The 12,528-nt window shown below is 47.8% G+C and overlaps 2 annotated features.

Annotated features, from left to right (window-relative positions):
* Positions 4,061–4,590: an enhancer, noted in NCBI's record as "OCT4-NANOG-H3K27ac-H3K4me1 hESC enhancer chr7:73553155-73553684 (GRCh37/hg19 assembly coordinates)". NCBI's record gives its function as "activates a minimal SCP1, AML or CMV promoter by ChIP-STARR-seq in naive H9 embryonic stem cells {active_cell/tissue: H9 hESC(naive)}" and the evidence as "EXISTENCE:reporter gene assay evidence [ECO:0000049][PMID:30033119]".
* Positions 9,565–10,352: an enhancer, noted in NCBI's record as "OCT4-NANOG-H3K27ac-H3K4me1 hESC enhancer chr7:73547393-73548180 (GRCh37/hg19 assembly coordinates)". NCBI's record gives its function as "activates a minimal SCP1, AML or CMV promoter by ChIP-STARR-seq in primed H9 embryonic stem cells {active_cell/tissue: H9 hESC(primed)}" and the evidence as "EXISTENCE:reporter gene assay evidence [ECO:0000049][PMID:30033119]".

Below are 12,528 nucleotides of genomic sequence, written 5' to 3'. Positions count from 1 at the left end.
CTCAATTAAACTCCCTTAAATTTAATTTGGCTGAAGTTTTTCTTTTAACACATGTGAAAGGAGGGAAAAAGGAACAGTCAATTATGAATTCATCTTGTGCTAAATATATCTGTATTTTACACAAGATAAAGTAAACACAGAGTAGAGGAAGAAGTCAATTATGCTTTTGTCTTAGGGTGGGGGTAAGTATGATTTATTATTATTATTTTTTTCTGAGACAGAGTCTCACTTTGTCCCCCAGGCAGGAGTGCAGTAGTGTGATCTCAGCTCACTGCAACCTCCGCCTCCCGGGCTCAAGCAATTCTCCTGCCTCAGCCTCCTGAGTAGCTAGCATTACAGGTGTGTGCCACCACGCCCAGCTAATTTTTGTAGTTTTTAGTACAGACAGGGTTTCACCATGTTAGCCAGGCTGGTCTCGAACTCCTGACCTTGTGATCTGCCTACCTCAGCCTCCTAAAGTGCTGGGATTACAGGTGTGAGCCACCGCACCTGGCCTGGAAGTATGATTTAAAAAAAAGAAAAATATTGGCCGGACGCGGTGGCTCACACCTGTAATCCCAGCACTTTGGGAGGCCTAGGCGGACGGATGATGAGATCAGGAGATTGAGACCATCCTGGCTAACATGGTGAAACCCTGTCTCTACTAAAAATACAAAACATTTAGCCGGGCGTGGTGGCAGGCGCCTGTAGTCCCAGCTACTCGGGAGGCTGGGGCAGGAGAATGGCGTGAACCCGGGAGGCGGAGCTTGCAGTGAGCCAAGGTCGTGCCACTGCATTCCAGCCTGGGTGACAGGGCAAGACTCCACCTCAAAAAAAAAAAAAAATTATTGTTATTTTTTTGAGACAGAGTTTCACTCTTGTGGCCCAGGCTGGAATGCAATGGTGCAATCTTGGCTCACTGCAACCTCTGCCGCCTCAGCTCAAGTGATTCTCTTGCCTCAGCTTCCCAAGTAGCTGGAATTACAGGCATGTGCCACCATGCCTGTCTAATTTTTTGTCTATAGTAGAGACGGGGTTTCACCATGTTGGTCAGGCTGGTCACGAACTCGTGACCTCAGGTGATCCCTTGGCCTCTCAAAGTGTTGGGATTACAGCCGTAAGCCACCACGCCCGGCCATGATTTTTTTTTTTTTTTTTTTTTTTGAGACAGGGTCTTATTCTGTTGCTCAGGTTGGAGTGCAGCGGTGCGATCACACCTCACTAGAGCCTCGACCTCCTGAGCTTAAGCAATACTCCCAATGCAGCCTCCTGAGTAGCTGGTACTACAGGTGTGCACTACCACACCAGGCTAATTTAAAATCTTTTCCGTAGAGACAGCCTCTCACTGGGTTGCCCAGGGTGATCTCCAACCCCTGAGCTCCAGCAATTCTCTCACCCCAGCCTCCCAAAGTGTTGGAATTACAGGTGTGAGCCCCCATGCCTGGCCAGATTTCTATTTTTTTATTTGTCCTGTACCTGTGAAGGTAAGCTGAATTTACATGGTCAGGGTGAGGGAAGCCACCTGTGGAGATACGTGGCATTCAATCTTGCAGCTATCTGGTTAGGAACAAAAGAAAATGCAGTTTCCTGTATGACTCAGTTCCTAAGCTTAGCTTTTTGCCCTTTGACATAGTGAGTTTGGGGTCTGGTGATTTTATTTTTCTTTCACACTGTTACTGGAAAGGAGTCCCAATCAAGACCCCAAGAGAGGGTTCTTTTTTAATCTTTTTTTTTTTTTTTTTTTTTTGAGACAGGGTCTCACTCTATTGCCCAAGCTGGACTGCAGTGGCGCCCTCTGCCTCCCGGGTTCAAGTGATTCTCCTGCCTCAGCCTCCTGAGTAGCTGGGATTACAGGCACGTGCCACCACGCCCGGCTAATTTTCTTGTATTTTTAGTAGAGACAGGGTTTCCCCATGTTGGTCAGGCTGGTCTCAAACTCCTGACCTCATGATCCACCTGCCTCGGCCTCCCAAAGTGCTGGGATTACAGGCGTGAGCCACCACACCCAGCCAAGAGAGAGTTCTTGAATCTCACGCAAGAAACAATTCCAGGCGAGTCCATGGAGTAAAGTGGAAGCAAGTATATTAAGAAAGTAAAGGAATAGGCTGGGCACAGTGGCTCACACCTGTAATCCCAGCACTTTGATAGGCCAAGGTGGGCGGATCATTTGAGATTGGGAGTTCAAGACCAGACTAGCCAACATGGTGAAACCCTGTCTCCACTAAAAAATACAAAAACTAGCTGGGCGTGGTGACATACGCCTGTAATCCCAGCTACTTGGGAGGCTGAGGCAGGAGAATCGCTTGAGCTGGGGAGGTAGAGGTTGCAGTGAGCCAAGATTGCACCACTGCACTCCAGCCTGGATGACAAAGTGAGACTCCATCTCACAAAAAAAAAAAAAAAAAAGAAAGTAAAGGAACAAAGAATGTCTACTCCATAGGCAGAGCATCCCCTAAGGTTGCTGGCTGGATATTTTTTATAGTTATCTCTTGATTACATGCCCAACAAGGGTGGATTATTCATGAATTTTCTGGGAAAGGCACGGGCAATTCCTGGAACTGAGGGTTCCTCCCCACTTTTTTTTGAGACAGAGTCTTGCTCTGCCACCCAGGCTGGAGTGCAATGGTGCAATCTCAGCTCACTGCTACCTCTGCCTCCTGGGTCCAAGCAATTCTCCTGCCTCAGCCTCTGGAGTAGCTGGGATTACAGGCGCCCGCCACCATGCCCAGCTAATTTTTGTATTTTTAGTAGAGACAGGGTTTCACATCTTGGCCAGGCTGGTCTTGAACTCTTGACCTTGCAATCCACCTGCCTTGGCCTCCCAAAGTGCTGGGATTACAGGCATGAGCCACTGCGCCCGGCCGGTTCCTCCCCTTTTTAGACAATATAGGGTAACTTCCTGATGTTGCCACGGCATTTCTAAACTGTCATGGCACTGATGGGAGTGTCTTTAGCATGCTAATATATTATAATTAGCACATAATGAGCAGTGAGGACGACCAGAGGTCACTTTCTTTCTATTTTTTGAGATGGAGTTTCACTCTTGTCATCCAGGCTAGAATGCAATGGCACGATCTTGGCTCACTGCAACCTCCGCCTCCCGGGTTCAAGCAATTCTCCTGCCTCAGCCTCCTGAGTAGCTGGGATTACAAGCATGTGCCACCACGCCCAGCTAATTTTTTGTATTTTTAGTAGAGACGGAGTTTCTCCATGTTGGTCAGGCTGGTCTCAAACTCCTGGCCTCAGGTGATCCGCCCGCCTGGGCCTCCCAAAGTGCTGGGATTATAGGCGTTGAGCCACCGCACCCAGCCTACCAGAGGTCACTTTCATCGCCACCTTGGTTTTGGTGGGTTTTGGCCGGCTTCTTTGCTGCAACCTGTTTTATCAGCAAGGTTTTTTGTCACCTATGTCTTGTGCCACCCTCCTGTGTCATCCTGTGACTGGGAATGCCTCACCTCCTGGGAAAGTAGCTCAGTGGTGATGCAGGGTTTTTCTAGGCACCTTCGCTGGACTCATGGAAGGGATGCCCCATCTACTCAGCCCCCTGTGCTCAACCCCTTGCAGGAGGGAGCACACAAGTGACTAAGTGTGGGATCTGGCCAGCTGGCTTCTCCAGGCACCAACACAGGAGCAAGCTGTATGCAGGGCCCATGGCCAGAGCAGGCATGTCACCTTGAGGGGAAAGCAGCAGCACCTAGGTGAGGGTGCCCGTGTCCCCGAAGCTGCAGAGGGGGTGTTATTACAGTGCTCCTTTAGTTCTGCTGTCCACAGATGGTGACATGTCAGCAGATCAGCTGGCCCCTTGCCTCATCACATGGGGACAGCTGCCCTTCACAGGCGAGGGCAAAGGCCCAGTGTGACAGCCTTTCTGGGTATCCTCACTCACTGGGTCCCAAGCTCTTGTCCAGCATCCAGGAAGAATGAAGTTACACGGACGATTGAAGGATGATGAAGGTGGAGAATTTTATTGAGCAATGAAAGCGACTCTCAGTGGAGAGGGGAGCTGGAGAGGGGATGGGAAGTGCAGGCTGCCTTCCCCGAAGTCAGGTCGTCTTTTCCCCTGCTGACTGAGTCTGGAGCCTTTATAGGCACAGGGTGGGGAGTGTGTGCTGATTGGCTTGTGAGTATGCAAAAAGGAGTAGTCCCAGCTATTCAGGAGGCTGAGGCTTGCTTGAGGGATCCCTTAAGTCCAGGAGTTGGAGGAATGTCTTTTGTTATTTATAATGAGTCCTTTTGATCACACTGGAGTTTATGCTAATGAGGTGAGTTAAAGCAAAGACACTACTCAAAGGTGGTCATGAAAGAGTAGAAAACCGCCGGGCACGGTGGCTCATGCCTGTAATGCCAGCACTTTGGGAGGCCAAGGCGGGCAGATCACAAGGTCAGGAGATTGAGGCCATCCTGGCTAACACGGTGAAACCTCATCTCTACTAAAAAATACAAAAAATTAGCCGGGCGTGGTAGCAGGCGCCTGTAGTCCCAGCTACTGGGGAGGCTGAGGCAGGAGAATGACATGAACCCGGGGGGTGGAGATTGCAGTGAGCCGAGATTGCACCACTGCACTCCAGCCTGGGTGACAGAGCGAGACTCTGTCAAAAAAAAAAAGAAAGAGTAGAAAACCAATTAGGAAAGGGTGGGTATATGTAAAATAGGCGAAGGGTGGGGATCAATCAGAGGAAAGCGCGACAAACAGGAAGGTAAGCTCTCAATCCGGTCTAAGGTTTAAACTTGTACCTTCAGTTTCAGGCTTTAAACCGTCTTCGGGTTGGAGGTGGGGTTTCACCGCGGACCCGCCCCTATTGGCCTAGGCAATTGGCTGCCTCCTGTCAATATCAGCAGGTCTCAGCCTCATTTTACCCACCCCCTATTCAAGATGGAATCACTGTGGTTCAAACTCCTCTGACAACAGTAGCTTGCTCCAGATCACACAGCTAATACAAATTGACTCACAAACTCTGGTCTACCCATCATTCAAAGAGGCAGGAAGGTATAGGCCAAACACAGGAAAAGCAGCAGTAACGATAAACTGTGTCTAAAAGACCGTCTTTTCCCCCACAGCACAGGATGAAGTTGAAGTTACTTTCTCTGCCTAAGATCCAGACATCCCCCCTCAACAAGGAAAACAATTGTTTTTTTTTCTTCTCCTTTCTATAAAATCAAGAATGGAACCACACCTGAACAGACTCTTCCGCAAGATAATGTCTCCCTCAGGCTCATTGAAATTCCAAAGAGAATTATGTACAAGTTAATCTCTGTTCCTAAATCCATTCATTCTCCCCAGCAATGTTTATTTTTATTTTTATTTTTATTTTTATTGAGATGGAGTCTCACTCTGTCACCCAGGCTGGAGTGCAGTGATGCCATCTCAGCTCACTGCAACTTCCTCCTCCTGGGTTCAAGTGATTCTCCTGCCTCAGCCTCCTGAGTAGCTGGGATTTCAGCTATGTGCCACCATGACTGGCTAATTTTTGTGTTTTGAGTAGAGACAGGGTTTCGCCATGTTGGCCAGGCTGGTCTCGAACTCCTGACCTCAAGTGATCTGCCCACCTTGGCCTCCCAAAGTGCTAGGATTACAGGCATGAGCCACTCTGCCTAGCCCCCAGTAATCTTTTATGTCCCCTCAATAGAATTCCTCTTTCTTCCCCCTGCCATAACCTGTTTTACCAGGATCCAAACCCCTATTCTTTCTGTATCTGCAAGATAGTATATCTATATCTATAGATATCGATATCTATAGATATATATACACATGTCTATATATATAGATATGTATACATATAGATATAGATATATAGATATCTATAGATATAGATATGTATACATATCTATATATATGTATATAGTGCCAGGCACAGTGGCTCATGGCGGTAATCCCAGCGCCACTTTGGGAGGCCAAGAGGGGAAGATCACTTGAGTGCAGGAGTTCAAGACCAGCCTGGCAACATGGCGAAAACCCAGTCTCTACTTAAAAAAAAAAAGAAGATGGTATATAAGCGTCTGAACGCCTTTGGGGTGGTGGGTAATCACGCTGTGGTGTGGTTCTCCCCAGATACGTGTGAATGCAATTTGTATCCCCCTTTTTCTAATTAATCTGCCTTTTGTGAGCTGATTTATCAGCAAACCTTCAGAAGGTGAAGCAGAAGTTTTTTCCTTGGTTCCTACAATCTCACTTCTATGCACATAACAAAATTTCACATGCACCCTATAAATATGGACAGCTACGATGTATTAATAATATTAGGCTGGGCATGTTTGCTCACACCTGTAATCCCAGCACTTTGGGAAGCTGAGGCAGGAGGATGGATCACTTGAGCCCAGGAGTTCAAGACGAGCCTGGGCAACATAATGAGACCCTCATCTCTACAAAACATAAAAACATTAGCTGGGCATGGTGGTGCACTCCTGTAGTCCTAGCTACTCAGGAGGCTGAGGTGGGAGGATTTATTGAGGCCAAGAGTTTGAGACCAGCTTGGGTAATATTATGGGACTCCTCTCTATAGAAAATAAAATTAAAGGCTGGGTGTGGTGGCTCACACCTGTAATTCCAGCACTTTGGGAGGCCAAGGCGGGTGGATCACCTGAGGTCAGGAGCTGAAGACCAGCCTGACCAACATGGTGAAACCCTGTCTCTACTAAAATACAAAATTAACCAGGCGTGGTGGCAGGTGCCTGTAGTCCCAGCTACTCGGGAGGCTGAGGCAGGAGAATCGCTTGAACCCAGGAGGCAGAGATTGCAGTGAGCTGAGACCACGCCATTGCACTCCAGCCTGGGCGACAAGAGTGAAACTTCGTCTCAAAAAAAAAAAAAAAGGAAAATTAAAAACTTAGCTGCATGTGGTGGTGTGCACCTGTAGTTCGAGCTACTACAGAGGGTGAGGCTGAGGTGAGAGAATCACTTGAGCCCAGGAATTCAAGACCAGCCTGGGCAAGATAGCAAGATTCCATCCCTATTTTAAAAATTAAGTAAAAAAGGCCAGGTGTGGTGGCTCATGCCTGTAATCCCAGCACTTTGGGAGGCCCAGGTGGGCGGATCATGGAATTGGGAGATTGAGACCATCCTGGCTAACACAGTGAAACTCCGTCTCTACTGAAAATACAAAAAATTAGCCGGGCGTGGTGGCACGCGCCTGCAGTCCCAGCCACTCGGGAGGGTGAGGCAGGAGAATGGCATGAACCTTGGAGGCGGAGGTTGCAGTGAGCCGAGATTGTATCACTGTACTCCAGCCTGGGGGACGGAGCGAGACTCCGTCTCAAAAAAAAAAAAAAAAAAAAATTTAAGTAAAAAAATTTGAATATAATAAACTAGTTGCAGCGGGTGCAGTGGCTCATGCCTGTAATCAGTCCCAGCACTTTGAGAGGCTGAGGCGAGTGATCACAAGGTCAAGAGATCGAGACCATCCTGGCCAACACGGTGAAACCCTGTCTCTACTAAAAATACAAAAATTAGCTGGACGTGGTGGCCTGCGCCTGTAGTCCCAGCTACTCAGGAGGCTGAGGCAGGAGAATCGCTTGATCCCAGGAAGTGGAGGTTGCAGTGAGCTGGGATTGCGCCACTGTACTCCAGCCTGGCGACAGAGTGAGTCTCAAAAAATAAAAAATAAAAAAAAAATTACTTAACATAAGTAAAGTATTTCCCTGAGCTCTGTGAGCCATTCTAGAAAATTATCTAACTCCAGGAGAGGGTTTTTGGAAACCCCAGCTTTTAAAAAAATTATTTCTTGGGGCCGGGTGCAGTGGCTCACGCCTGTAATCCCAGCACTTTGGGAGGCCAAGGTGGGCGGATCACGAGGTCAGGAGATGGAAACTATCATGGTTAACACGGTGAAACCTTGTCTCCACTAAAAATACAAAAAATTAGCCGGGCGTGGTGGCGGGCGCCTGTAGTCCCAGCTGCTCGGGAGGCTGAGGCAGGAGAATAGTGTGAACCCGGGAGGCGGAGCTTGCAGTGAGCCAAGATCGCGCCATTGCACTCCAGCCTGGGCGACAGAGCGGGACTCCATCTCAAAATATAATAAAATAAATAAATAAAAATTATTTCTTTATATTTATTTATTTATTTTTGTTTCAACAGGTTTTTGGGGAACAGGTGAACAGGTGGTATTTGGTTACATAAATAAGTTCTTTTTTTTATTTTGTATTTTTTTTTTAGACAGAGTCTCGCTCTGTCACCCAGGCTCGAGTGCAGTGGCTTGATCTCAGCTCATTGCAAGCTCTGCCTCCCAGGTTCAAGTGACTGTCCTGCCTCAGCCTCCTGAGTAGCTGGGATTACAGGCATGTGTTACCATTCCTGGCTAATTTTTGTATTTTTTTAGTAGAGGCAGGTTTTCGTCATGTTGGCCAAGTTTTTTTTGTTTTTGTTTTTTTTTTAATAGAAATATGGTCTCACTATGTTGCGCTGGTTGGTCTTGAATTTCTGGGCTCAAGCAGTCCTGCCACTTAGGCCTCCCAAAGTGCTGGGATTACACATGTGAACCATCACACCCGACCTGAAAGCAAGCTTATCAGGAAAATAAAGGAATAGCCGGGCGCAGTGGCTCACGTCTGTAATTCCAGCACTTTGGGAGGCTGAGGCAGGTGGATCACCTGAGGTCAGGAGTTCGAGACCAGCCTGGCCAACCTGGTGAAACTCCATCTCTATTAAAAATACAAAAATTAGCTGGGTGTGGTGGTGCATACCTGTAATTCCAGCTACTCGGAAGGCTGAGGCAGGAGAATTGCTTGAACCTGGGAGGCAGAGGTTGCAGTGAGTCAAGATTGTGCCACTGCACTCCAGCCTGGGCAACAGAGCGGGACTCTGTCTCGAAAAAGAAAAAAAAAAAAAGAATAGGAAAGGAATAAAGAGTGACTCCTCCATAGGCAGAGCAGTGGCATGGGCTGCTTGACTGAGTATACTTACAGTTATTTCTTCATTCTATGCTAAACGAAGTATGGGTTATTCATGAGTTTTCCAGGAAAGGGCAGGGATTTCCCAGAACTGAGGGTTCTTCCTTCTTTTAGACCATATAGGGTAACTTCCGGGTGTTGCCGTGGCACTTGTAAACTGTCATAGTCCTGGTGGGAGTGTCTTTTAGCATGGTAATGTATTATAATTAGTGTATAATGAGCAGTGAGGATGACCAGAGGTCAGTTTCATCACTGTTGGTGGGTTTTGGGGCTGGCTTCTTTACTGCGTCCTGTTTTTGTTTTCTTTTTTTTTTTTTTTTTTGGGATGGAGTCTCGCTCTGTTGCCCCGTCTGGAGTGCAGTGGTGCGATCCTGGCTCACTGCAACTTCTGCCTCCCGAGTTCAAGCAATTCTCTTGCCTCAGCCTCCTGAGTAGCTGGGAGTACAGGTGCCTGCCACCATGTCTGGGTAATTTTTGTATTTTTGGTAGAGACAGGGTTTCACCATGTTGGCCAGGCTGGTCTTGATCTCCTGGCATCAAGTGATTTGCCCGCCTCAGCCTCCCAGAATGCTGGGATTACAGGAGTGAGCCACTGTGCCCTGTCAGCATCCTGTTTTATCAGCAGGGTCTTTGTGACCCGTATCTTGTGATACCAGTCCTGCCAACCTTCTGTCTCATCCTGTGAATAAGAATGTCTCACCTACTGGGAATGCAGCCCAGCAGGTCTCAGCCTCATCTTACCCAGCCCCTATTCAAGATAGAGTCACTCTTTTTCAAATGCTTCCTTCCAAAAACAAAGGATAACAGGCTGGGCGCAGTGGCTCATGTCTGTAATCCCAGCAGTTTGGGAGGCTGAGGTGGGCAGATCACTTGAGGTCAAGAGTTTGAAACCAGCCTGGCCAACATGGTGAAACCCCGTCTCTACTAAAAATACAAAAATTAGCTAGGGGTGGTGGCACATGCCGATAATCCCAGCTACTCGGGAGGCTGAAGCAGGAGAATCACTTGAGCCCAGGAGGCGGAGGTTGCAGCGAGCCGAGATGCCATCACTCTACTGCAGCCTGTCCAGCAGAGTGAGACTCTGTCTCAAACACACACACACACACACACACACACACACACACACACACACACACACACCACAAAGGATAACAGGAGACAGGAAAATTAGAGGACCATCTGAATCTTAATGTTTTCAAGGTGATTGCAAAAAAAAAGGGGAGAGACAAAGAAGATATGAAGTATTCTGTAAAATGTAAAAAAAAAAAGTCTAAGACCTCAGTAGAGAAAATTATGAAATATTTGTTCACAAAACTTATGCATTTTTTTTTTTGAGACGTAGTTTCGCTCTTGTTGCCCAGGCTGGAATGCAATGGCACAATCTCATCTCTCTGCAACTTTCGCCTCCCGGGTTCATTGATTCTCCTGCCTCAGCCTCCTGAGTAGCTGGGATTACAGGCATGCACTACCACACCCGTCTAATTTTGTATTTTTAGTAGAGATGGGGTTTCACCATGTTGGCCAGGCTGGTCTCGAACTTCTGACCTCAGGTGATCCACCAGCCTCGGCCTCTCAAAGTGCTGGGATTACAGGTGTGAGCCACTGTGCCTGGCCTTCCCGTCTCTCTTTTTTAGTATATCTGCTGCCAAAGGGAGCACCCGTCTCTCTTTTTAAAAAAAAAGAAGGAAGGGGCCGGGCGCGGTGGCTCACGCTCACGCCTGTAATCCCAGCACTTTGGGAGGCCGAGGTGGGCGGATCATGAGGTCAGGAGATCGAGACCATCCTGGCTAACACGGTGAAACCCTGTCTCTACTGAAAATACAAAAAATTAGCTGGGCGTGGTGGCGGGCGCCTGTAGTCCCAGCTACTCAGGAGGCTGAGGCCGGATAATCGATTTAACTTGGGAGGTGGAGCTTGTAGTGAGCTGAGGTCCCGCCACTGCACTCCAGCCTGGGCGACAGAGCAAGACTCCGTCTCAAAAAAAAAAAAAAAAAAAAAAAAAAGGAAGGGAGGGCGGGAAGGAGGAAGGGAGGAAGGGAGGGAGGAAGGGAGGGAGGAAGGCAGGCAGAAGATCTGAAGAAACATGAGTGGCCACTAAACACGTAAAGATGCTCAACTATAGAGGAAATCAGGGAAACTCAAATTAGTACCACAGTAAGATACTGTATTGTACCTGTTAGTCTGTAAAAAATTAAAAAGATCTGGACAACGAAGAATCTGATATACTGCAAGTGAGACCATAAATCACTAGAACTGCTTTGAGAAACAATTTGGCACTTTTCTTCCTTTCTTTTCTTTTCTTTTTTTTTTTTTTTTTTTTTTTTTTCATGAGACAGGGTCTGGCTCTGTCACCCAGGCTGCAGCACAGTGGTGCAATCATAGCTTACTAGCTTACTGTAGCCTTGAACTCCTGGGCTCAAGCAATCCTCCTGCCTCAGCTTCCCAAAGTACTGGGATTACAGATGTAAGTCACCTTACCTGGCCTTTTTCTTTTTTCTTTGTTTTTGAGCTGGAGTCTTGCTCTGTTGCCCAGGCTGGAGTGCAGTGGAGCAATCTTGGTTCACTGCAACCTCCGACTCCTGGGTTCAAGTGATCCTCCTGCCTCAGGCTCCTGAGTAGCTGGAATTACAGTGATCCGTCCCAAAGTGCTGGGATTACGGGCATGAACCTCCGCACCTGGCCTTTTTTTTTTTTTAAATTTATAGAGGAAAAGGCTGGTCGAGGTGGTGTGGTGGCTCACTCCTGTAATCCCAGTACTTTGGGAGGCCGAAGCAGGCAGATCACTTGAGGCCAGGAGTTTGAGACCAGCCTGGCCAACATGGTGAAACCCCGTCTCTACAAAAAATACAAAAATTAGCCAGGTGGTGGCTGGTGCCTGTAATCCTAGCTACTCGGGAGGCTGAGGCAGGAGAATCGCTTGAACTCAGGAGGTGGAGGTTGCAGTGAGCTAAGATTGTACCACTGCACTCCAGACTGGGTGACAGAGTGAAACTCTGTCTCAAAAAAATAAAAAATAGTATAATTTAAATCCCCAAATAGGATAATTGACTTTTTTTTTTCTGTGCCACCACGCCTGTCTAATTTTTGTATTTTTAGTACAGACGGGGGTTTCACTATGTTGGCCAGGCTGGTCTCGAACTTCTGACCTCAGGTGATCCACCTGCCTTGGCCTCCTAAAGTGCTGGGATTACAGGCGTGAAGCACCAAGCCCAGCTGAGTTTGGAGCTTTAAACAAAAGAGATCCACCAGCATAAGCCCTAGTCGAATGATCTATTGATCATTAAGTGTTGCCCTGTTTATGGAAGATTTACCAATACTTGAAAAACGACTTTAATTTGGTATTGGAGCTTCTTTTTTTTTTTTTTTTCCTGAGACAGAGTCTCGCTCTGTCGCCTGGGCTGGAGTGCAGTAGCGCGATCTTGGCTTACTGCAACCTCCGCCTCCCAGGTTCAAGTGACTCTCCTGCCTCAGCCTCCCGAGTACCTGGGATTACAGGCGCACGCCTCTATGCTGAGCTAATTTTTATTGTATTTTTAGTAGAGACGGGGTTTCACCATGTTGGCCAGGCTGGTCTCGAACTCCTGACCTTGTGATTCGCCTGCCTCGGCCTCCCAAAGTGCTGGGATTACAGGCGTGAGCCACCGTGCCCGGCCTGGAACTTCTTAA

Source organism: Homo sapiens, chromosome 7 (genome assembly GCF_000001405.40).
Source record: "Homo sapiens chromosome 7, GRCh38.p14 Primary Assembly".
Taxonomy (NCBI): Eukaryota; Metazoa; Chordata; class Mammalia; order Primates; family Hominidae; genus Homo; species Homo sapiens.
The sequence above is the reverse complement of the archived record's forward strand: the minus strand, read 5'-3'. Positions and strand labels throughout refer to the sequence as shown.